Consider the following 23,263-nt stretch of genomic DNA (forward strand, 5'->3'; position numbering starts at 1 on the left):
CTGGTGTTGAACTCCTGACCTCAGGTGATCCACCCACCTCGGCCTCCCAAAGTGCTGGGATTACAGGCATGAGCCACTGTACCCGGCCAACGCCTGGCTATTTTTTTAATATTTTAATAGAGACGAGGTTTCACCATCTTTGTCAGGCTGGTCTCCAACTCCAGACCTCAGGTGATCTGCCCACCTCGGCCTCCCAAAGTGCTGGGATTATAGGCGTGAGACATCGGGCCACTAATCATTATTTCTTTTTCTTTTTTTTTTTTTGAGACACAGTCTTGCTCTGTCGCCCAGGCTGGAGTGCAGTGGCTCGATCTCAGCTCACTGCAAGCTCCGCCCCCTGAGTTCACGCCATTCTCCTGCCTCAGCCTCCCGAGTAGCTGGGACTACAGGCGCCCGCCACTACGCCCGGCTAATTTTTTGTATATTTAGTAGAGACAGGGTTTCACCGTGTTAGCCAGGATGGTCTCGATCTCCTGACCTCGTGATCCACCCGTCTCGGCTTCCCAAAGTGCTGGGATTACAGGCCTGAGCCACCGCACCCGGCCCTCATTATTTCTTTTTCTTGCCTGGTTAAAACCTCCAGTATGGTATCAACGTTGTGAGAGTCAAATCCTTTTCTAGTTCCTGATCTTAGAGGAAAAAGCGTTGAGTTTTCTTTTCTTTTTTTTTTTTTTTTTTTTTTGAGACGAAGTCTCACTCTGTCACCCAGGCTGGAGTGCAGTGGCACGATCTAGGCTCTGCAAGCTCCGCCTCCCGGGTTCACGCCATTCTCTCGCCTCAGCCTCCCGAGTAGCTGGGACTATAGGCGCCCGCCACCATGCCCGGCTAATTTTTTGTTTTTGTATTTTTAGTAGAGACGGGGTTTCAGCATGCTAGTCAGGACAGTCTCGATCTCCTGACCTCGTGATCCGCCCGCCTAGGCCTCCCAAAGTGCTGGCATTACAGGCGTGAGCCACCGCGCCCGGCAGCACTGAGTTTTCTACCATTATGTATGCTGCTAGTGGAACTCCGACTGTGGACGCCCTGTTATCAAACTAGGTTAAGTTTCCTTTCCCTAGTTTGCTAGGAGGTTGGTTGGTTTGTAATCATGCATATGTGTTGAATATCATTAACTGCTTTTGCTACATCTGTTGAAATGATCATAGGGTTTTTATGTTTCCCTTTGTTAATGTGGTGAATTACACAGACTGATTTTTTTCCCCCCAGTAAAGACCAGTCTGACTATGTTGCCCAGGCTGGTCTTGAAATCCTGGGCTCAAGAGATCTTCCTGCCTCAGCCTCCTAAAATGTTGGGATTACAGGCCTGAGCTACTGCACCAGGCCAATTTTTGAATGTTGAATCAGCTACAATCATGAGATAAACATTATTTGGTTAGAATGTATTTATCCTTTTTCTTTTTCTTTTTTTGAGATGGAGTCTCACTCTGTTGCCCAGGCTGGAGTGCAATGGTGTGATCCCAGCTCAGTGCAACTTCTGCCTCCTGGGTTCAAGCGATTCTCCTGCCTCAGACTCCCGAGTAGCTGGGATTTCAGGTGCCCACCACCATGCCCAGCTAATTTTTTTTTTTTTTTGAGATGAAGTCTTGCTCTGTCGCCCAGGCTGGAGTGCAGTGGCACGATCTTGGCTCACTGCAACCTCTGCCTCCCGGGTTCAAGCAATTCTGCCTCAGCCTCCTGAGTAGCTGGGATTACAGGCAGGTGCCACCACACCGGCTGATTTTTGTATTTTTAGTAGAGATGGCGTTTCACCACATTGGTCAGGCTGGTCTTGAACTCCTGACCTCGTGATCTGCCCACCTCGGCCTCCCAAAGTGCTGGGATTACAGGCGTGAGCCACCGTGCCCAGCCTGATTTTTGTATTTTTATTAGAAACGGGGTTTCACCATGTTGGTCAGGCTGGTCTCAAACTCCTGACCTCAAGTGATCTGCCTGCCTCAGCCTCCCAAAGTGCTGGGATTACAGGCGTGAGCCACCGCGACTGGCCTATTTATCCTTTTTTCTATATTACCAGGTTTGGTTTGCTAAAATTGGTTAGCTGTTGCATGTCTATGCTAACAGGAATATTGGTCTATATTTTCTTTTCTTATAATGTCCTTGTTTGGTTTTGGTACCAGGATTATGCTGGCTTCGAAAACAAGTTGGGAAATATTCCTCTATTTTTTCTTTCTTTCTTTTTTTTTCTGAGACAGGGTCTCACTCTGTTGCCCAGGCTGGAGTGCAGTGGCGCAATCTCGGCTCACTGCAACCTCCGCTTCCCAGGTTCAAGGGATTCTTGTGCCTCAGCCTCCTGAGTAACTGGCATTACAGGTATGTGTCACCACGCCTAGCTACTTTTTGTATTTTTAGTAGAGATGGGGTTTCGCCGTGTTGGCCAGGCTGGTCTCGAACTCCCGACCTCAAATGATCCCCTGCCTCAGCGTACCAAAGTGCTGAGATTACAGGTATGAGCCACCGCGCCCAGTCTGTTCCTCTGTTTTCTGAAGAGTTTGTGTAAGATGGGTACTGTTTCTTCCTCCAACGTTTAAAGAGAGCAGAGAACAGAGGAGATAAATAGAAAATAGCACTAAGAGGTCAGGCATGGTGGCTCACACCTGTAATCCCAGCACTTTGGGAGGCCGAGATGGGATGAAAGCTTGAGGCCAGCAGTTTGAGACCAGCCTGGGCAACATAGTGAGATCCTGTCAATACAAAAAAATAAAATAGTTAGCTGGGTGTGGTGGAGTAATCCCAGCTACTCGTGAGGCTGCTAGAGGACTGCTTGAGCCCAGGGGTTCGAGGCTGCAGTAAGCCTTGATTGTGCCATTGTACTCTAGCCTGGGCAACAGTGTGAGTCCCTGTCTCAAAAATTAACAAAGAAAAAAAGAAAATAGCACTAAAATGGTAGCCCTATACTCCAACTGTAAAATAATTAAAATTAAAAGCATTCAGTAGAGAAAGGAAGCCTATTTCAACAAGTGGAGACAGAATAACTGGATTTCCATACAGGAAAGATACCAGAGACTGACTCCTACACCTCACACCATAAACAATTAATTTTAAGAATTAATTAATGGCTCAAGGACCTTACTGTAAAACTTACAACCATAAAGGTCCTAAAAGAAAATGTAAGATAATATCTTCATGACCCTGGGGTTAAAAAAAAAAAAAAAGATGTCCTAAACAGGACAAGGCAAATACTGAACATAAAAAAGATAAATCCACTCCTCTTAAGATACTGTAAACTCTGTAAAGCAAACAAATAGGCAAGCAACAGATCAGAAGAAAACATTCACGACACATGGATCTGATAAAGGACTTGTATCCAGAATGTATAAAGCAGTCCCACAACTGAACAATAAAAACAAACAAAAAACCAAAATAACAGGTAAAAGACTCGAAGAGCTACTTTACAAACAAAATACGAATGGCCAATAGGCACATGAAAAAATGCTGAACATCCTTAGTCAATAGAGAACTGTAAATTACAACCACAAGGATATACCACATTAGAAAGACTGACAATACCTAATGTCCGGAAGGCTGTGGCACAACCATAATAACTCCCATACCTTGCTAGTTGGAGTGTAAAATGGTACAACCGCTCTGGAAAACTCAGAGCTTCTGAAAAAGTTCAAAATACAGCTACTTTTTACTTCCAAACTCGCAATTCCCCTCCTAAGTATTTCTCCAAGAAACACGAAAACATATGATCACAAAAAGAATTGTACAAGAATGTTTATAGCAGCTTTATTTCATAACCGCAAATGGGAAACAACTCAAAAGGCCATCAAAAGGACGGATATACAATCGATGGACTATACTAAATGAAAAGGAGCAAAATACTGATATATACAACATGAACGAATGTCAGACAGTACATTGAAGGACAGAAGCCCGACAAAAATGAGCACATAATGTATGATTCCCCCCTTTTTTTTGAGACGGAGTTTCGTTCTTGTCGCCCAGGCTGGAGTGTAGTGGCACGATCTTGGCTCACTGCAACCTCTGCCTCCCGGGTTCAAGCGATTCTCCTGCCTCACCCTCCCGAATAGCTGGGATTACAGGCACCCACCACGCCCAGCTAATTTTTGTATTTTTTAGTAGAGACGGGGATTCACCACGTTGGCCACGCTGGTCTGGAACTCCTATCCTCAAGTAATCCGCCCGCCTCGGCCTCCCAAAGTGCAGGCGTGAGCCACAGCGCCCAGCCTGATTCCATTCTATATGAAGTTCTCCAACAGGCAAAATGGTTATGGAGATCAAAATAAAGGTGGGGTCGGGAATCGACTGGGAAGAGACGTGATGAAACGTTTCTGGGACGATGAAAAGGGTCTGTGACTTGGTAGGCATCACGGAGCGGTTAGGGGCCAAAACTCATCTTCCTGTGCACTTGCTGTGTGCACTGGCGCTGTGTGTAAATGCCACCTCGATTTAGGAAAAAGATGACGTAAGTACGGCACAAAGTGGCCGGTACGCGGCAGGTGCATGGGAAGAAACTGCGGAATGAAACAACCGCGAGCTAAGAGATGGGGCAGCGGGAGAAATGAATTCGAGTTCCGCCTCCTACCAGGAAGAACCGGCTCGGGCCGGAGGGCTGCACGGAGGACCACACGGACGCCTGCGGGCCCGCCCCTTCCGCTTCACGACGTTCAGCCTGCGTCTGGAACTGGAATGGCCTAGCCCAAAGCTAGATAACAGGTAGATTGTTTTTCCGACAAATTATCAAACGACCCATCATTGCACTCTTTCAAAATTTGATTCTCAGACGTACCCATTCTTTTTTTTTTTCCTCCGGGAAGATGAGATATACTCATTCTTGAAAATACCTCCGGGCTTGCCTTCTGCACACTTCTTTCCCTCCCTGTCTCACGCCATGGTAGCGTCCGCCTAGGTTGCAGGCGACCCGCGGGGTGGGGCACACCATTCAAAGAAGGGGAGGGATTGAGGTTTGCATCAAAACAAATACCCCTGCCTTTGCAAAGGCCATAACTAAGTAATCCAGAAAAAGAAATGCAGGCGGAGAATAGCAGCCTCCCTCTGCCAAGTAAGAGGAACCGGCCTAAAGGACATTTTCTCTCTCTCTCCTCCCCTCTCATCGGGTGAATAGTGAGCTGCTCCGGCAAAAAGAAACCGGAAATGCTGCTGCAAGAGGCAGAAATGTAAATGTGGAGCCAAACAATAACAGGGCTGCCGGGCCTCTCAGATTGCGACGGTCCTCCTCGGCCTGGCGGGCAAACCCCTGGTTTAGCACTTCTCACTTCCACGACTGACAGCCTTCAATTGGATTTTCTCCATCTAGCGGAGCCGGGGGCTGCCTGGAAAGATCGCTCCAGGAAGGACAAAGGTCCGGAAGTTGTGGGACCTTAGCAGCTTGGGCTCCCCGGATCACCCCCAAATGATCATTTCGGAATGGAGCCCCAGTTTTCACTAGGATGCCATGGGCTCTAAAATATACAGCTATGAGTTCTCAATGTTTCGAGATCCAAAAGTCTCAGACCTCAATGCTTTGTGCATCTTTTATTTCAGGGATTCCCTACGCCCAGCACCGGGTGGATGTGCAAAGAAGTACGCTTTAGGCCGGCTCAAGGTTCCCCAAAGCTCCACTCCTCTGCCTAGGCGTTCAACTTTGAGTTCGGATGGTCCTAACATCCCCATCATCTACACCCAGGTCTCCCAACAATGCAACTCCTATGATGATCCCTCTAGCCAAGCTTCCATCCCACTCACCCCCAAACTCGCTAAGTCCCCACTGCCCCACCCCCAGCCCCAGCGATTTTCCCGAGCTGAAAATACACGGAGCCGAGAGCCCGTGACTCAGAGAGGACTCATCAAGTTCAGTCAGGAGCTTACCCAATCCAGGGAAGCGTGTCACCGTCGTGGAAAGCACGCTCCCAGCCCGAACGCAAAGTGTCCCCGGAGCCCAGCAGCTACCTGCTCCCTGGACGGTGGCTCTAGACTTTTGAGAAGCTCAAAACTTTTAGCGCCAGTCTTGAGCACATGGGAGGGGAAAACCCCAATCCCATCAACCCCTGCGAGGCTCCTGGCACAAAGCTGGACAGTCGCCATGACAAGTAAGGGCAAGTAATCCGCCTGCCGGAGGAAGCAAAGGAAATGGAGTTGGGGAGGAGGGTGCAGAGTCAGGATTCTCGCCGACCTGGTGCCGTAGATACTAACATTTTGGGGTGGAAAATTCTGCAAGCCAGAGCTGTGAGGGCAGAATTGGTGGAAATCATTTTGGAGGAATCCTGCATTGTGTCAAATATGAAGGGTGGAAGGAAGAAAGCTTTTGCGTTTGCTCTCAGCTGGATCCTTTCTTCTCATCAGTTAAAATGTCATTTTTTAGGAAGGCTTTCCGTAATATCACACCCTAACGTTTTCTCCCAGATACTTTATATCACACCATCTTATTTAATCTCCTTCACAACCCTTATCACTCTGATAAGATTTATTTGTTCATTGCTTTCAGTACATGGAAACGTAAGCCTTATGAGGATATAGAATTTTTCTACTATCTTATTCATTGTTGTATTCCTGAGTGCCTATATCAGTGCTGGGTAGCAAGTAAGAGCTCGATAATAAATATTTTTTGAATGAGGGAGACAGGTCTGAAGCCTGGAGAATGAGATGCAGAAGAGGTGCAAGACCTGCTGCGCCCTCTGCAGGCGGCGGGGGGGCGGTGCAGGTGCTTTAAGAATTACCGCGGGACTCGGTAGGGGGAGCGTAGGCGCTTCTCGCCAAGATAGAAGCGTTCAGACTACAACTCCCAGCAGCCACGAGGAGCCCTAGGGCTTGATGGGAACGGGAAACCTTCTAACCTTTCACGTCCCGGCTCCGCGGGTTCCGTGGGTCGCCCGCGAAATCTGATCCGGGATGCGGCGGCCCAATCGGAAGGTGGACCGAAATCCCGCGACAGCAAGAGGCCCGTAGCGACCCGCGGTGCTAAGGAACACAGTGCTTTCAAAAGAATTGGCGTCCGCTGTTCGCCTCTCCTCCCGGGAGTCTTCTGCCTACTCCCAGAAGAGGAGGGAAGCACAGGTGGGTTTCTTTAGCTCTGCGTCGGATCCCTGAGAACTTCGAAGCCATCCTGGCTGAGGCTAATCTCCGCTGTGCTTCCTCTGCAGTATGAAGACTTTGGAGACTCAACCGTTAGCTCCGGACTGCTGTCCTTCAGACCAGGACCCAGCTCCAGCCCATCCTTCTCCCCACGCTTCCCCGATGAATAAAAATGCGGACTCTGAACTGATGCCACCGCCTCCCGAAAGGGGGGATCCGCCCCGGTTGTCCCCAGATCCTGTGGCTGGCTCAGCTGTGTCCCAGGAGCTACGGGAGGGGGACCCAGTTTCTCTCTCCACTCCCCTGGAAACAGAGTTTGGTTCCCCTAGTGAGTTGAGTCCTCGAATCGAGGAGCAAGAACTTTCTGAAAATACAAGCCTTCCTGCAGAAGAAGCAAACGGGAGCCTTTCTGAAGAAGAAGCGAACGGGCCAGAGTTGGGGTCTGGAAAAGCCATGGAAGATACCTCTGGGGAACCCGCTGCAGAGGACGAGGGAGACACGTAAGTGGTGATGGCAGTGGAGTGTGGAGTCTGGGGAGATGAAGTGTGAGGTCGATCTGTCCTCTGGTCCTGAGACCCACTTCTCCAGGCCTCTGCCCCCTTTGCTTGGCGACCCAGGTTTATTGTCCCCCATCTTCCTTTCAGCGCTTGGAACTACAGCTTCTCCCAGCTGCCTCGATTTCTCAGTGGTTCCTGGTCAGAGTTCAGCACCCAACCTGAGAACTTCTTGAAAGGCTGTAAGTGGTAAGGATAACAACGGGGCAGGGAGCTGACCACCCCCGAGATTTTCACTGTAAAACAGTCCAGTTTTCTAGGAGAGGGATGCCCCAGAGCTGGGAGAAGCGGCACGTAGCCCTTTTAGACTGAGCTTACATTTTATCTAGCAGTTTGTGTCTTCTACTTCCCTCAAGGATTCAGGGGGGCTTACCTACCCCAGAGGCAGGCTCAGCCCTAGCCCTACACTTGAAAAGCATAGGTCTGGCCAGCTTTCTAACTCTCCCCTGTTTCTAGGGCTCCTGACGGTTCCTGCATCTTGACCAATAGTGCTGATAACATCTTGCGAATTTATAACCTGCCCCCAGAGCTGTACCATGAGGGGGAGCAGGTGGAATATGCAGAAATGGTAAGGACTGGGGCTAACTGCCTCTTCATCAATGCTGCACATTTAAGTCCTTCGTGGAGATGGAAAAAGTGTAGTCCAAGTGTTTCCTGTTCACAAACGGGACTGTTTTTCAAGACGAGTTTCCACATGTAGCGTTTTCTGCCCCGAATTCTGAAGTTATTTAGAGAGAGGTTTCCCCTTTCTTTAATTAGGAATCTGTGTTTTTTGCTAAAAAGTAGTGAATTTCTTGTGGCAGCATATATATATTTCTATTTCTTATTTTTTTGAGACAAGGTCTTGCTCTGTCACCCAGGCTGGAGTGCTGTGGTGTGATCTCGGCTCACTGCAACCTCTGCCTCCCGGGTTCAAGCGATTCTCCTGCCTCAGCCTCACAAGTAGCTGGTATTACAGGCGCACGCCATCACACTCGACTAATTTTTATAGTTTTAGTAGAGACGGGGTTTCGCCATGTTGGGCAGGCTGATATCAAATTCCTGACCTCAGAGGATCCGCCCACCTTGGCCTCCCAAAGTGCGGGGATCACAGGTGTGAGTCACCGTGCCTGGCTTATAGCTATTTATTGATTGACTACTGATATATGTTAGTCACTGTGCTGGGATAAAGTGGTGGACAAGACAGATGAAGGGCTGGTTTGCTTTCTGTGTGGGAGACAGACAACAAACATGTAAACCAGCAAGCATCAGGACCAAGATGATGATAAATGCTCTGAAGGAAATACACAGAATGAAGAGAGACTAACTAGAGGAAAGCACATTGCATAAAATGGTCAGGAAGGAGCTCTCTGAAAAGGAGGCATTTGAGCTAAGACCTGAAGGAGGATAAGGGATCAGTCATGTGAAGGCTTCTGGAAAGAGCTTTCCAGGAACTGGCAATGATACTATAAACACCCAGAACTGGGAAATAGCTTTGTGCGTTAAAAGACCAGAAAGGCCCTGCATGGTGGCTCACGCCTGTAATCCCAGCTACTCAGGAGGCCGAGGTGTGCAGATCACTTGAGGCCAGGAGTTCGAGACCAGCCTGGCCAATATGGCAAAACCCCATCGCTACTAAAAATACCAAAATTAGACGCATGTGGTGGCACGCGCCTGTAATCCCAGCTACTTGTGTGGCTGAGGCAGGAGAATCTCTTAAACTCAGGAGGTGGAGGCTGCAGTCAGACAAAATTGTACCACTGCACTCCAGCCTGGGCGACAGAGTGAGACTCCATCTCAAAAAACAACAAAACAGACTGGGCTCAGTGGCTCACACCTGTAATCCCAGCACTTTGGGAGGCTGAGGTGGGCAGATCACCTGAGGTCAAGAGTTTGAGACCAGCCTGGCCAACATGGCAAAACCTCATCTCTACAAAAATACAAAAATTAGCTGGGTGTGATGGTGGGTGCCTGTAATCCCAGCTACTTGAGAGGCTGAAGCAGAAGAATCATTTGAACCCAGGAGATGGAGGTTGCAGTGAGCCAAGATCATGTCACTGCACTCCAGCCTGGGTGACAGAGTGAGACTCCATCCCAAAACAAACAAACAAACAAACAAACAAACAAACAAACACAAAACAAAAAACCCAGAATGCTGGTATAGCCAGACTGAGGCAAGTGAGGGGGACAGAGGGGTGAGGACAGAGAAGAGCAGCCACGTCGTGTTGGTTCTTATGGGTAAGGCATTTGGAGTTTATTTGGGAAGTCATGAGAGAGGTGTTTTTTTTTTTTTTTTGAGACGAGTCTTGCTCTGTCGCCCAGGCTGGAGTGCAATGGCGTGATCTCGGCTCACTGCAACCTCTGCCTCCTGGATTCAAGCGATTCTCCTGCCTCAGCCTCCCGAGTAGCTGGGATTACAGGCACCCGCCACCATGCCCAGCTAATTTTTGTATTTTTTTAAATAGAGACGGGGTTTTACCATATTGGCCAGGATGGTCTCGTACTCCTGACATTTGATCCGCCGGTCTCGGCCTCCCAAAGTGCTGGGATTATAGGCATGAGCCACCGCGCCTGGCTTAATTTTTGTATTTTTAGTAGAGACAGGTTTTGCCACGTTGGCCTGGCTGGTCTCAAACTCCTGACCTCAGGTGATCCACCTGCCTCAGCCTTCCAAAGTGCTAGGATTACAGGCGTGAGCCACCATGCCAGGCCATGAGAGAGGTTTTTTTTGTTTGTTTGTTTGAGACAGAGTCTTGCTCTGTTGTCCAGGCTGGAGTGCAGTGGCACCATCTCAGCTCACCGCAACCTCCGCCTCCCAGGTTTAAGTGATTCTCCTGCCTCAACCTTCCGAGTAGCTGGGATTACAGGCATGTGCCACCACACCCGGCTAATTTTTTTGTATTTTTTTAGTAGAGATGGGGGGTTCATCATATTGGCCAGGCTGGTCTCGAACTCCTGACCTTGTGATCTGCCCACCTTGGCCTCCCAAAGTGCTGGGATTACAGGCATGAGCCACTGCGCCCGGCCAAGAGAGTTTTAAAACAGAAGAGTGAATGGTTTATGGGTGGGCAAGAGTGAAATCCAGGGCCAGGCACGGTGGCTCACGCCTGTAATCCCAACACTTTGGGAGGCTGAGATGGGTGGATCACCTGAGGTGAAGAGTTTTAGACCAGCCTGGCCAACATGGTAAAACCCTGTCTCTACTCAAATACAAAAATTAGTTGGGGCTGGGTGCGGTGGCTGACTCCTGTAATCCCAGCACTTTGGGAGGCTGAGGCAGGTGGATCACCTGAGGTCAGGAGTTCGAGACCAGCCTGGCCAACATGATGAAACCCCATCTCTATTAAAAATACAAAAAATTAGCTGGGCGTGGTGGCGGGCGCCTGTAATCCCAGCTACTCTGGAGTCTGAGGCAGGAGAATTACTTGAACCAAGGAGATGGAGGTTGCAGTGAGCCAGGATTGCACCACTGCACTCCAGTCCAGGCAACAGTGTAAGACTCCGTCTCAAAAAAAAAAAAAAAAAAAAAAGATTGGCTATAGTTTTCTCCCACCCATCCTAATCAGGTTCTGCCTCCATCGCTTCCTGAAAGTGCTCTTGTCAAGGTCACTAATGTCCTCTTGGGTCATTCTCCTTTTTTTTTTTTTTTTTTTTTTTTGAGACAGAGTCTCGCTCTGTCACCCAGCTGGAGTGCAGTGGCGCCATCTCAGCTCACTGCAAGCTCTGCCTCCCGGGATCACGCCATTCTCCTGCCTCAGCCTCTCCCGAGTAGCTGGGACTACAGGCGCCCGCCACCACGCCTGGCTAATTTTTTGTATTTTTAGTAGAGACGGGGTTTCACCATGGTCTCGATCTCCTGACCTCGTGATCCTCCTGCCTCGGCCTCCCAAAGTGCTGGGATTACAAGCATGAGCCACCGCGCCCAGCCCCTCTTGGGTCATTCTCTAAATTCGCCTCACTGCATCTCTTAGCAGCATGAGTCACTGTCTCCACCTCCCTGCGCTGGAGCACTCAGGCACTCAGGGCTCTGCTGGGCCTTCTCCTCCTCCATCAGCACTCTTTCTTTTTTTTCTTTTTTTTGAGACGGAGTTTCAAAAAATCAGACCCACCAAGGCATGTGGCAGTTGTGTTGCTCTTTGCTCGGTACCCGCTAGAGGTCTGTTGCCATTAATTTGAAATGAGACCAGTTAGTGTGACTGTGCATCTTTCCTGGCAAGTTAAATGACTATAGTTTCTCTGTTTGTAAAATGGGGATGATTATAATAGCACCTGCCTCACAGAGTTGTGAGAATTAAAATAATCAGTAATGAATTAAAGCACTTAAGGCCGGGTGCGGTGGCTCACGCCTATAATCCCAGCACTTTGGGGGGCCGAGGCAGGTGGATCGCCTGAGGTCAGGAATTCAAGACCGACCTGGCCAACATAGTGAAACCCTGTCTTTACTAAAAATACAAAAATTAGCCGGGCTTAGTGGCGGGCGCCTGTAATCCCAGCTACTTGGGAGGTTTGAGGCAGGAGAATTGCTTGAATCCAGGAGGCGAAGGTTGCAGTGAGCTGATCGCACCACTGCACTCCAGCCTGGGCAAGAGAGCAAGACTTAGTCTCAAAAAAAAATAATAAAATTAAAAAAAAGTACTTAAAACAGCACCTAGCATATAGTAAGTGTTCGGTAAACACTAGTAGTCACTGGTATCAGTTGTGTGCAAGCCAAGAATAGGAGGATGGTATGGTTGAGGTTTACCAGGAGAGAAAGACAAGGGTATCCTGAGAGTGTCTTCAAGAGTGTGCATGCCATGGTGGACTAGAATCTACAGTGGGTAAGGAACTGGACTGTAAATAAGTTTTTGATGAAGCTGAATAAATTGTCATGGTAGAAATAGCAGAGCAGGGTCAGGCCTGGTGGCTCACGCCTGTAATCCCGACACTTTGGGAGGCCGAGGCGGGTGGATCACCTAAGGTCAGGAGTTCGAGACCAGCCTGGCCAATATGGTGAAACCCCGTCTCTACTAAAAAAGATACAAAGTTAGCCAGGCATGGTCGTGATTATGATATTAATGATTATAATATTAAAACATTTTAAAAAATATATCTTGCAATACAGATAGTCAATTTGTTTTCTTTTTTTCTTTCTTTTTTTTTTTTTTTTTTTGAGACAGAGTCTCGCTCTGTGGCCCAGGCTGGAGAGCAGTGGTGTGATCTTGCCTCACTGCAACCTCTGTTTCCCGGTTCAAGCGATTCTCCTGCCTCAGCTTCCTGAGTAGCTGGGATTACAGGCACGCACCACCGCACCCGGCTAATTTTTGTATTTTTAGTAGAGATGGGGTTTCGCCAAGTTGGCCAGGCTGGTCTCAAACTCCCGACCTCAAGTGATCCACCCATTTCCGCCTCCTAAAGTGCTGGGATTACAGGCGTGAGCCACTGCTCCTGGCCAGTCAGTTTGTTTTCAAAAGATTTTTGTGGCTGGTGTGGTGGCTCATGCCTATAATCCCAGCACTTTGGGAGACCAAGGTGGGAGGAATGCTTGAGCCCAGGAGTTTGAGACCAGCCTTGGTAACACAGCCAGATCCTGTCTCTATCAAAAAAGTTGGGCCTATGGTCCCAGCTACTTGGGAGGCTGAGGTGGGAGGATCGCTTGAGCCTGCGAGGTTGAGGCTGCCATGACCTTTGATTGCACCATTGTACTCTAGCCTGGGCGACAGAGTGAGACTCTGTCTCAAAACAAACAACCAAAACCTTTTTGTGCTTTTTTTTTTTTTTTTCCTGCTAGTGTACCAGTTCTATCGCAACCTCTCTCATTAGGTATTTTCATTTTTAGTGTCTACAAGCTTAGCATTTGAAATAGATAACTTTTTTTTTTTGAGATGGAGTCTTGCTGTGTCCCCCAGGCTGGAGTGCAGTGGCGCGATCTCAGCTCACTGCAAGCTCCGCCTCCCGGGTTCACGCCATTCTCCTGCCTCAGCCTCTCGAGTAGCTGGGACTACACGCACCCACTGCCACCACGCCAGGCTAATTTTTTGTATTTTTAGTACAGTCGGGGTTTCACCATGTTAGCCAGGATGGTCTCGATCTCCTGACCTCGTGATCCGCCCGCCTTGGCCTCTCAAAGTGCTGGGATTACAGGCGTGAGCCACTGCACCCGGCCTTAAATAGATAAAATTTGTATAGGTCAGAAAATTGGGGAAGGGTGTATTTGGGTATTTCCATATACTTGTGTGTACTGAGTCTTCTTCCCAATATAGTTTCTCGGGTTTTCTCCTTTCTTTTCCACCTTTTCACAGAACTTTCTGCAAGTCTCATTTCCAGCTCCCCAGCGTCTTTCCTGAGTACTTGCCCTGCCCCGTGGGTCTTGCAGGAAGCCTTTACTCCTCGTCTTGCCCTCTCCAGGAGACACTTTGCATCCTCTGTACCCTTTATCTCTCAGGGTGGGGACGGGGAATGTCCTCATTCCCAAATGCTGTAGCCACACAATTGCTCTTTCGTCTTTGTGAAACTTTTCCCTTGAGGCTTATGCTGATTCTCTCTCCCGCTGACGACGTTGGCACTGTACAGCCTTCCGGTGCTCTCCTGTTCGCCCGCCATTTTGGTGACCTCAGGTATCCAAGCCAAAAGCCAGGGTCTCTCTCATCCTTTAATCTTTAATCTCCCTGTTCCTAACCCCTCACATCCAATTACTTCCCAAATCCCATCAAGTCTGCCTAATCTTCCTAATCCACCCACATCTGTCCCTCCCACTGCCTCTACTTTAATTCAAGGTCCTATTATTTTGGGCCTTATGTTGCTGAAACAGTCTCCTGCCTCCTTTTGCTCATTAAAACCGTATTTGTTGACTCTGCTTATTCTGCACCACGTGTTGGGGAAGCAGTGGTGAGAGCGAGGCAGATGTGATTCCCTCCTTCTCTGATAGGTATGACGGAAGGGGAGTGAGGAGCACCAGGGGCTATAGGAAAGAGGAACAGGGGCGCCTTGCTTAGCTGGAGGGGTTAGGGAAGCGTTCCCAGAGGAAGAAGCATCTAAGAGACCTGAAGGATGACTAGGATTCAGCCAGGAGGAGTCGTTGGGGGAGATGAAGGAAGAATATTCCAGACTTGGAGCCTAGGACATGTGAAAGCCAGTGGGTTGAAAGTGTGGCGAGTTGGCACTTTATGGGACCTGAGAGTCAAAATGGCGGGACTCAGAGATTTTTTTTTTTTTTTTTTTTTTTTTTGAAATGGAGTCTTGCTCTGTCGCCCAGGCTGGAGTGCAGTGGCGCGATCTGGGTTCACTGCAAGCTCCGCCTCCCAGGTTCACGCCATTCTCCTGCCTCAGCCTCCCGAGTAGCTGGGACTACAGGCGCCCGCCACCACGCCTGGCTAATTTTTTGTGTTTTTAGTAGACACGGGGTTTCACCACGTTAGCCAGGATGGTCTCGATCTCCTGACCTTGTGATCCGCCCGCCTTGGCCTCCCAAAGTGCTGGGATTACTGGCGTGAGCCACTGCGCCCGGTCAGGACTCAGAGATTTTTATGGGAATTAGCAGATAGAGATAAGCCTTGAGAGGTGGGTCGGGGGTAGCACGTGGTAATGGAAGACTAGGAGGAGGAACTGGCAAGATTTGGTATTGGGTTGGACCAGGAGTGGAAAGGAAGTGAAGAGTGGTAGCAGTCAAGGCTGGTGCTCAGATTTCAGGATTGAGCACTGGTGTGGAGTCCAGGAGGAACAGCAGGTTTGATGGTGGTGGATGCCGGGCCTATTATGGACAAATTGAGTTTGAGGAACCTGTGGGATGATCAAGTGGCACTGTCCACCAGGCAGTTGGATATATGGGTTCAGAGTATAGAGGTGGACACTGAAGTCCTGGCTGGTTGACATCAGCCTGAGGCCCAGAAGACAACTGACGAAGGACAGTGTCCAGACTATTTATCTCTCACAAATCAGTAAGAAAAAGACGGCTGGGCATGGTGGCTCATGCCTGTAATCCCAGCACTTTGGGAAGCCGAGGCAGGTGGATCACCCGAGGTCAGGAGTTCAAGACCAGCCTGACCAACATGGCAAAATCCCGTCTCTACTAAAAATACAAAAATTAGCCGGGTGTGGTGGCAGGCGCCTGTAATCCCAGCTACTCAGGAGGCTGAGGCAGGAGAATTGCTTGAACCTGGGAGGTGGAGGTAGTAGTGAGCCGAGATCGTGCCACTGCACTCCAGCCTGGGGACAGAGGGAGACTCTGCCTCCAAAAAAAAAAAAAGAAAAGAAAAAGAAAAAAGAGAAGAAAAGAAAAAGACAACAACTGGTCAGGCATGGTGGCTCACACCTGTAATCCCCACTTTGGGAGGCCGAGGTAGGCAGATCACTTGAGGCTGGGAGTTTGAGACCAGCCTGGCCAACATGGTGAAACCCCATCTCTACTAAAAAGTATAAAAATTAGCCGGGCGTGGTGGCAAATGCCTGTGGTCCCGGCTCCTTGGGAGGCTGAGGCATGAGAGTCGCTTGAACCCAGGAGGCAGAGGTTGTAGTGAGCCAAGATCGTGCCACTGCACCCCAGCTTGGGGAACAGAGAAAGACTCTGTCTCAAAAAGAAAAAAAAAGAAAAAGAAAATGGGCAAAATTTATGAAAAGGTGTACCTAACTAAATGGCCAGTAAACATAGAGGAAATATCTAATCTCTCTTATAGTAATGATGGAAATACAAATTTATGCTGTAATGAAATACCATTTCACCACCTTCAAATTGAGAAAAATGTAAAAGTCTGGCAATACCAAGAAGATAAAGAACAATAGACACTTTTTTTTTTTTTTGGAGACAGGATCTTGTTCTGTTGCCCAGGCTGGAGTGCAGTGGTGCGAACATGGCACACTGTAGCCTCAAACTCCTGGGGTCAAGCAGTCCTCCTGCCTCACTCTCCCAAACAGGTGGGACTACAAGTATGCCAATATGCCTGACTAATTTTTTAATTTTTTGTAAAACTGGGGTCTTGCTATATTGCCCAGGCTAGAATAGAGACTCTTATACACTGCTGGTGGGAGAGGACATTGGGACAAGTGCTTTGGGAAAGAAATTGACATTATAGTATCTTACAAAGTTTGCAAAGTGCATAGCGTAGAGACCAGTAATTTTACTCTTCAGCAGAAACTGTAGAGAAACCCTTCTACATGTGTACAGAATGTTAAAGCACACTAGCCAAAAAACAGAAAAACATCAGTGATTCTAAATAGAAGAAGGGTAGATCAGTTTGAATATATTCATGAGTAGAGTACTATACACCAGTGAAAATGCATGAATTAGAGCAAAATGTGTTTCCATGGTTAAAGCTTGCTATCACAGAGGGATGTATATGATATAATACCATTACTGTTAAGTCTAGGCCGGGCATGGTGGCTCATGCTTGTAATCCCAGTGCATTGAAAGGCTGAGGTGGCTGGATTGCTTGAGGCCAGGAGTTTTAGACCAGCGTGAGCAACACAGACCCCTGTTTCTACAAAAAAATAATTTTAAAGATTAGCCGGGCAGGCTGGGCGTGGTGTCTCATGCCTGTAATCCCAGCACTTGGGAGACTGAGGTGGGTGGATCACGAGGTCAGGAGTTCAAGACCAGCCTGGCCAAGATGGTGAAACCCCGTCTCTACTAAAAATACAAAAAAATTAGCCGGGCGTGATAGCAGGCGCCTGTAATCGTAGCTACTCAGGAGGCTGAGGCAGAGAATTGCTTGAGTCTGGGAGGCAGAGGTTGCAGTGAGCCAAGATTGTGCCACTGCATTCCAGCCTGGGCGACAGAGCGAGACTCCGTCAAAAATAAATAAATAAATAAATAAATAAATAAATAAGCCAGGTATGGTGGCTTATGCTTATATTCCCAGTTACTAGGGAGGCTGAGGCCAGGGGATTGTTTGCTTGAGCCCAGGAGTTTGAGGTTTCAGTGAGATGATTGCGCCACTGTGCTCCAGCCTAGGCAACAGAGTAAGACCCTGTCTCTAAGAAAAGAAAAAATTAAGTCTAAAGACCTGCAAGACAACGTTAGATACTGTTTTTTTTCCCATATGAATATACTCCTAGGCTGGGCGCAGTGGCTCACACCTGTAATCCCAGCACTTTGGGAGGCTGAGGCAGAAAGATCACTTGAGGCCAAGAGTTCGAGACCAGCCTGGCCAACGTGGCGAAACCCTGTCTATACTAAAAATACAAAAAATTAGCTGAGCATGGAGGTGAACTCCTGCAATCCCAGCTACTCGGGAGGCTGAGACACAAGAATTGCTTGAACCTGGGAGGTGGAGGTTGCAGTGAACTGAGATCGTGCCACTGCACTCAGCCTGGGTGACAGAGTGAGACTCTGCCTTTAAAATTAAAAAAAAAAAATTTATATATATATATATATTTATATATATATATATATTTATATATATATATATATATATATATTTATATATATATATATATATTTATATATATATATATATTCCTAAGGAAATGTATGACAGTGATAAATTCAAGATAGTGTTTACCTCTGAGGGAGAGTTTCTGTTAGGAAAGGGGTTTAAACATATCTTTTTGTTCAGCTGGATGGAGGGGTCACAGGGCTGTTTTTTTAATAAGATACTTTGTATGTTTGAACTGTTTAATTTTTTTTCTTTATTTTTGTAAGGAGGTTTTTTTGTTTCCATTTTTGTATTTTTGAGACAGTGTTTCTGTTGCCCAGGCTGGAGTGCAGTGGCAATGATCTCAGCTCACTGTGGTCTCTATCTCCTGGGCTCAAGCAATTCTCATGCCTCAGCCTCCCTAGTAGCTGGGACTACAGGCATGCACTACCATGCCCAGCTAATTTTTTTTTCTTGTAGAGACAGTGTTTCACCATATTGCCCAGGCTGGTCTTGAACTCCTGGGCTCAAGTGATCTGCCTGCCTCAGCCTCCCTAAGTGCTGGGATTACAGGTGTGAGCCACTGTGCTCAGCCGATAATTTTTTTCTTTTCTTTTTCTTTTTTTTTTGGGGGGCACTGTCTCTCTGTCACCTAGGGTGGAGTGCAGTGGTGCGATCTCAGCTCACTGCAACCTTTGTCTCCTGGGTTCAAGGGATTCTCCTGCCTCAGCCTCCTGAGTATCTGGGATTACAGGTGTCCACCACCACGCCTGGCAAATTTTTGTACTAATATTTTTTTAAAGGATCAAATGGCACCTAGCATGTACTCAGTAAGTATTTGAATAATTGGTTGGTTCTTTGTCTCTGGGTTGAGGTATTATTATTTGTTTCTTCCTCTCTAAGTGTTTATAAAGAAAAAGTATAAGGCCCGGCACGGTGGCTCACACCTGTAATCCCAGCACTTTTGGAGGCTGAGGCGGGTGGATCACCTGAGGTCAGAAGTTTGAGACCAGCCTGGCCAACATCATGGTGAAACCCTGTCTCTATTAAAAAAAAAAACAAAAACAAAATTAGCCAGGCATGGTGGTGCATGCTCTGTCTCAAAATAATAAAAAAAAAAAAGTATGAATCTATATGGCTTTTGGTGGCTAAATTTGACATTAAAGTCTGAGCTCACCCTTGAACATTGAGACAGAGTCTGTGCTCCATATATACACCCCATCTGCCACAACACTGCTAGAGGCACGCGCCTCAGACTCCTTTTCCCTCCGAGTGACTCAGCCATTCCCCCGTCTCTGTATAGGTCCCTGTCCTTCGAATGGTGGAAGGTGATACCATCTATGATTACTGCTGGTATTCTCTGATGTCCTCAGCCCAGCCAGACACCTCCTAGTAAGTAATGTTTGCCTCCCTGCTCGCCGCCCCACCACCCAGTTTCAAGCAGGGCCTCTTGGGAGAGTCAAGGGCTGCCAGGGGTCTTTGGAGGAGGAAGGCTTGGCATGCTTATCAGAGGGGCTGGTCAGTTGGCTTCCTCCCCTTCCTTTTTTTTTTTTTAGATTGAGTCTCCCTCTGTCACCCAGGCTGGAGGGCGGTGATGCAGTCTCAGCTCACTGCAACCTCCGCCTCCCAGGTTGAAGTGATTCTCCTGCCTCAGCCTCCTGAGTAGCTGGGATTACAGGTGTGCACCACCACACCCAGCTAATTGTGTATTTTTCATAGAGATGGGGTTTCACCACGTTGGCCAGGCTGGTCTCGAACTGACCTCAGGTGATCCACCTGCCTTGGCCTCCTGAAGTGCTTGGATTACAGGCATGAGCCACCACACCCAGCCTCATTTTTGTATTTTTAGTAGAGACAGGGTTTCACCATGTTGGCCAGGCTGGTCTCGAACTCCTGACCTCAAGTGATCCACCTGCCTTGGCCTCCCAAAGTGCTGGGATTACAGGCATGAGCCACTGTGCCCGGCCATTCCTCCCCTTCCTTTGACAGCACCGGGGTTTCAGTGTCCATGTCTCTCTCAGCGTGGCCAGCAGCAGCCGGGAGAACCCGATTCATATCTGGGACGCATTCACTGGAGAGCTCCGGGCTTCCTTTCGCGCCTACAACCACCTGGTAGGGACCGCCATACTCAGCCCCAGCACTCGTACTGGCCCGGCTCTCCTTCCTTGAGGGCAGCTGAGGCTTTGCAAGACCTGTTTTCAGCCCTTTCCTTCCCCCAGGATGAGCTGACGGCAGCCCATTCGCTCTGCTTCTCCCCGGATGGCTCCCAGCTCTTCTGTGGCTTCAACCGGACTGTGCGTGTTTTTTCCACGGCCCGGCCTGGCCGAGACTGCGAGGTCCGAGCCACATTTGGTAAGCATCTGTGCCTCCAAGGGAGGAGGAGAGGGAAGGGCACTGCCACCTGCACAGGGGCCTTTTGTGAGCCGGGGGCCACCTGTGGGGGTTCACGCCGTCCTCTGTACGGCCCCGGGAGCAGGTGCAGCCCAGTCGGCAGAGGAGCAAACAGGCTCAGAGCAGGTAGGAAACCTTCCCAAGGCCAACCAGCTGGTCAAAGGACTGCTTCCTTCCTGAACTCATACCCTGTCAGCTGTGGAGCTTTTGGTCTCTGAAATCTTTCTAGAAAATTGTTGATAAAGCTGATTCCGTTTTCCTGTAGGCCTTCAACTTGCATCTCTCCAAGGAAGAACTGGGATTTGAGAGGGATGAAGTGGGGCTTGGGCATTTAGGTCCTTTGGGAGGATAGATGTGGGGAGCATCAGAGGTCTTTGTCCTGCTTGTGACAGACAGCATGGGGGGGATGTTGAGTCCAAGCATGTTGGTGCTGGGACGGGAGACAGACCTCTGCTTAGCCTGGTTAGTGCCAGGAGCCATTGCCCCCTCCCCCACTTTGTTCCTTCCCTCTCTAGCAAAAAAGCAGGGCCAGAGCGGCATCATCTCCTGCATAGCCTTCAGCCCAGCCCAGCCCCTCTATGCCTGTGGCTCCTACGGCCGCTCCCTGGGTCTGTATGCCTGGGATGATGGCTCCCCTCTCGCCTTGCTGGGAGGGCACCAAGGGGGCATCACCCACCTCTGCTTTCATCCCGATGGCAACCGCTTCTTCTCAGGAGCCCGCAAGGTAGGGGTCACACCCTGAGAGCCCAAAGCAGCTGGGCAGCGGGGCAGGAGCAGGGATGTAGTCTGCAGTGTAGGGGAATGGGTGGGGATGGGGAAAAAATCCCAAGCTGAAGGAGTGCCTGGAGACCCCGAGGGAGGCAGGGACATCCAGGGCTTTGGGGGTGACTCCAGGTCCTGTTCCTTGTCTCCAGGATGCTGAGCTCCTGTGCTGGGATCTCCGGCAGTCTGGTTACCCACTGTGGTCCCTGGGTCGAGAGGTGACCACCAATCAGCGCATCTACTTCGATCTGGACCCGTGAGTGGCTGTGACTCCTTCCTACACAGGGCCCTGATAAGCCTAGGAATGCCAGAGCCCAGCTGTAGGGTCCCAGTCCCTGGGTGTGAGGGGTTCCTGCCCCAGGGGTGAGGCCTCTGCCAGCAAATCTCTCCTCTCTCTCGCAGGACCGGGCAGTTCCTAGTGAGTGGCAGCACGAGCGGGGCTGTCTCTGTGTGGGACACGGACGGGCCTGGCAATGATGGGAAGCCGGAGCCCGTGTTGAGTTTTCTGCCCCAGAAGGACTGCACCAATGGCGTGAGGTCCTCAGTTCAATTCCAGAGATGTTGGGGCTTGGGTTGGGGAGGGAGGTGAATCCCAGAGGGAGCAAGTGTCCTCACTGAAGGCACTGATAGACCCTCCCCATCTCTCCCTCAGCCTGCACCCTAGCCTGCCTCTCCTGGCCACTGCCTCCGGTCAGCGTGTGTTTCCTGAGCCCACAGAGAGTGGGGACGAAGGAGAGGAGCTGGGCCTTCCCTTGCTCTCCACGCGCCACGTCCACCTTGAATGTCGGCTTCAGCTCTGGTGGTGTGGGGGGGCGCCAGACTCCAGCATCCCTGATGATCACCAGGGCGAGAAAGGGCAGGGAGGAACGGAGGGAGGTGTGGGTGAGCTGATATAAAAAGGTTTTTATGATACTAGAGTCTTCGTGTCTGTTTTGGGGGGGCATATGAGTGAGGTGGGGGACCAGGCAGGGGGACTGGCGGGCTCCCTGGTCCAGCAGCAGTGGGTATGGCATATTGGTCCTGAAACCAGGCGTTGAGAGGTGGGACCAGGCAGGAGCCAATGGGGCGGCTGAGCTTGGTGTGAAGTCAAGTGGGTGGGGGTGGGGCTTCATGCCATTGACTGGTTGGTTGCTAGGCAACTTGGTAAACTGAAGGGGGAAACCTGTTTGAAATCTCACTCCCAAGGTGGGGGCGGCAGGGGTCAGGGTGAGCGGGGCTGAGCAGGAGCTGGGTCAGACTGTTGGGTGTGACCGTGTGAGACTGTGCAGACAGTGACAGGGCGCCTGTCGCCCACACTCCACACTGTTTGCCATTCTCCAGCAGCATGGGGACCATTACTCAGCTCTGAGGGGAGCAGGAGCACTCTCCTCCGCTCCCCGGGGCTCCCCAGGAGGCAGACAACCCAGTTGCCAGAGTCAAGGACACACATAAAAGAGTAAAGGTGTTGAAAAATACAGTCGTCACCTTTGATATTGCTGTTCCATGCGGGGCGCGGCGAGGGTCTTATTCATTCAGCGGCTGTCGCTGGGCTTGTTTCTCCATTTGTCTGCTCTGTCTTTGGGGGTGGGGGACGAGTGTGTCATTTGAAGCAGTGACTCCTCCCTCCTCCCCCCAACACCTTCCCAAACACTGAGAATGGGGGGACTTTGAAGAAATACTGCCAGCAGGGGATGTGATTTTGGACCTCACAATCAAAGGGAAGGGACGAAAGGCCTGGGGAGGCTTGAGAGGGAGAGGAATGTCACCCCTGCCCAGAGGTGCTGAAAGCCAGGGCTCTTACACCCGAAAAGGCAACTCCTCCCTTCCCCCAGGATAATTGGAAACAGCCCTTCCTGCGCAGCGCCGGTTTGGGGTTGTAGGTACGCCCCTTCTTCTCCCAGCCCCGCTTCTCCCCCCAGCCATCTAGGAAAGACCCAAGTGTATCCCCTAAACTCTTGTTTTTCACTAACCCCCAGGTAACAACAGCACTTGGTCCATGGAGCAGTGACAAAAGAGACCCCAAGAGTGGGAGGTGCGCAGCCTGGGTTTGGTTTCTAGCTTTATCCCAGACTTCCTGTGTGACCTTGGGCAAGTCACGGGGCCTCCCTGAGCCTCAGTTTCCTCATCTCTGCAATGGGATCGTTAGCTCTGCCCCTCCCACTTCACACAGGTAGTCGTGACGATCAGCTCCGCCGCACTTTGTAAAGCGCCAAGCCTTCAAGGTTATTATTATTCTCTCCA

The 23,263-nt window shown here is 49.7% G+C and overlaps 2 protein-coding genes across 18 annotated transcripts in view, besides 12 other annotated features; one reads left to right on the top strand and one right to left on the bottom strand.

The window, feature by feature from the left end:
* Positions 1-5,943, bottom strand: part of TP53 (tumor protein p53) — a 19,070-nt gene extending 13,127 nt beyond the window's left edge. For all 14 annotated transcript variants that reach the window (NR_176326.1, NM_001276761.3, NM_001126112.3 and 11 more), the window contains exon 1: positions 5,830-5,943. The gene's annotated coding sequence lies outside the window, so the exon portion shown is untranslated. The remainder of the gene's footprint in view (positions 1-5,829) is intronic.
* Positions 4,304-4,363: a silencer, noted in NCBI's record as "silent region_8136". NCBI's record gives its function as "represses an Ori minimal core promoter by ATAC-STARR-seq in GM12878 lymphoblastoid cells {active_cell/tissue: GM12878}" and the evidence as "EXISTENCE:reporter gene assay evidence [ECO:0000049][PMID:35858748]".
* WRAP53 (WD repeat containing antisense to TP53) lies at positions 4,524-21,955 on the top strand. 4 transcript variants are annotated; one of them, NM_001143990.2, is made up of 11 exons: positions 4,524-4,677; positions 7,101-7,532; positions 7,677-7,775; positions 8,043-8,154; positions 19,194-19,282; positions 19,912-20,002; positions 20,110-20,242; positions 20,797-21,005; positions 21,196-21,299; positions 21,446-21,580; positions 21,696-21,955. In NM_001143990.2, exons 2-11 carry the CDS (start codon positions 7,102-7,104, stop codon positions 21,937-21,939), a joined length of 1,647 nt encoding a protein of 548 aa, NP_001137462.1. In that variant the 5' UTR covers positions 4,524-4,677; position 7,101; the 3' UTR covers positions 21,940-21,955. The 4 variants fall into 4 exon arrangements, with proteins under 4 accessions (NP_001137462.1, NP_001137463.1, NP_060551.2 ...); NM_001143991.2 differs by lacking the exon at positions 4,524-4,677 and adding an exon at positions 5,882-6,056; NM_001143992.2 differs by lacking the exon at positions 4,524-4,677 and adding an exon at positions 6,930-7,014.
* Positions 4,664-4,793: an enhancer, noted in NCBI's record as "active region_11641". NCBI's record gives its function as "activates an Ori minimal core promoter by ATAC-STARR-seq in GM12878 lymphoblastoid cells {active_cell/tissue: GM12878}" and the evidence as "EXISTENCE:reporter gene assay evidence [ECO:0000049][PMID:35858748]".
* Positions 4,813-5,360: an enhancer, noted in NCBI's record as "NANOG-H3K27ac-H3K4me1 hESC enhancer chr17:7589678-7590225 (GRCh37/hg19 assembly coordinates)". NCBI's record gives its function as "activates a minimal SCP1, AML or CMV promoter by ChIP-STARR-seq in primed H9 embryonic stem cells {active_cell/tissue: H9 hESC(primed)}" and the evidence as "EXISTENCE:reporter gene assay evidence [ECO:0000049][PMID:30033119]".
* Positions 4,813-6,033: a biological region, named in NCBI's record as "BRD4-independent group 4 enhancer GRCh37_chr17:7589699-7590898".
* Positions 4,824-4,873: an enhancer, noted in NCBI's record as "active region_11642". NCBI's record gives its function as "activates an Ori minimal core promoter by ATAC-STARR-seq in GM12878 lymphoblastoid cells {active_cell/tissue: GM12878}" and the evidence as "EXISTENCE:reporter gene assay evidence [ECO:0000049][PMID:35858748]".
* Positions 4,834-6,033: an enhancer, noted in NCBI's record as "BRD4-independent group 4 enhancer chr17:7589699-7590898 (GRCh37/hg19 assembly coordinates)". NCBI's record gives its function as "activates an origin of replication core promoter dependent on BRD2, P300/CBP, MED14 and CDK7 cofactors, and independent of BRD4, by STARR-seq in HCT116 cells {active_cell/tissue: HCT116}" and the evidence as "EXISTENCE:reporter gene assay evidence [ECO:0000049][PMID:35650434]".
* Positions 6,832-6,881: an enhancer, noted in NCBI's record as "active region_11643". NCBI's record gives its function as "activates an Ori minimal core promoter by ATAC-STARR-seq in GM12878 lymphoblastoid cells {active_cell/tissue: GM12878}" and the evidence as "EXISTENCE:reporter gene assay evidence [ECO:0000049][PMID:35858748]".
* Positions 21,354-22,247: an enhancer, noted in NCBI's record as "H3K4me1 hESC enhancer chr17:7606219-7607112 (GRCh37/hg19 assembly coordinates)". NCBI's record gives its function as "activates a minimal SCP1, AML or CMV promoter by ChIP-STARR-seq in naive H9 embryonic stem cells {active_cell/tissue: H9 hESC(naive)}" and the evidence as "EXISTENCE:reporter gene assay evidence [ECO:0000049][PMID:30033119]".
* Positions 21,354-23,139: a biological region, named in NCBI's record as "H3K4me1 hESC enhancers GRCh37_chr17:7606219-7607112 and GRCh37_chr17:7607113-7608004".
* Positions 22,044-22,338: a silencer, noted in NCBI's record as "tiled region #11187; HepG2 Repressive DNase matched - State 9:DNaseU". NCBI's record gives its function as "represses a minimal TATA promoter and a strong SV40 promoter by Sharpr-MPRA in HepG2 cells {active_cell/tissue: HepG2}" and the evidence as "EXISTENCE:reporter gene assay evidence [ECO:0000049][PMID:27701403]".
* Positions 22,248-23,139: an enhancer, noted in NCBI's record as "H3K4me1 hESC enhancer chr17:7607113-7608004 (GRCh37/hg19 assembly coordinates)". NCBI's record gives its function as "activates a minimal SCP1, AML or CMV promoter by ChIP-STARR-seq in naive H9 embryonic stem cells {active_cell/tissue: H9 hESC(naive)}" and the evidence as "EXISTENCE:reporter gene assay evidence [ECO:0000049][PMID:30033119]".
* Positions 22,269-22,348: an enhancer, noted in NCBI's record as "active region_11644". NCBI's record gives its function as "activates an Ori minimal core promoter by ATAC-STARR-seq in GM12878 lymphoblastoid cells {active_cell/tissue: GM12878}" and the evidence as "EXISTENCE:reporter gene assay evidence [ECO:0000049][PMID:35858748]".

This window comes from Homo sapiens, chromosome 17 (assembly GCF_000001405.40).
Source record: "Homo sapiens chromosome 17, GRCh38.p14 Primary Assembly".
In the NCBI taxonomy this organism is placed as follows: domain Eukaryota; kingdom Metazoa; phylum Chordata; class Mammalia; order Primates; family Hominidae; genus Homo; species Homo sapiens.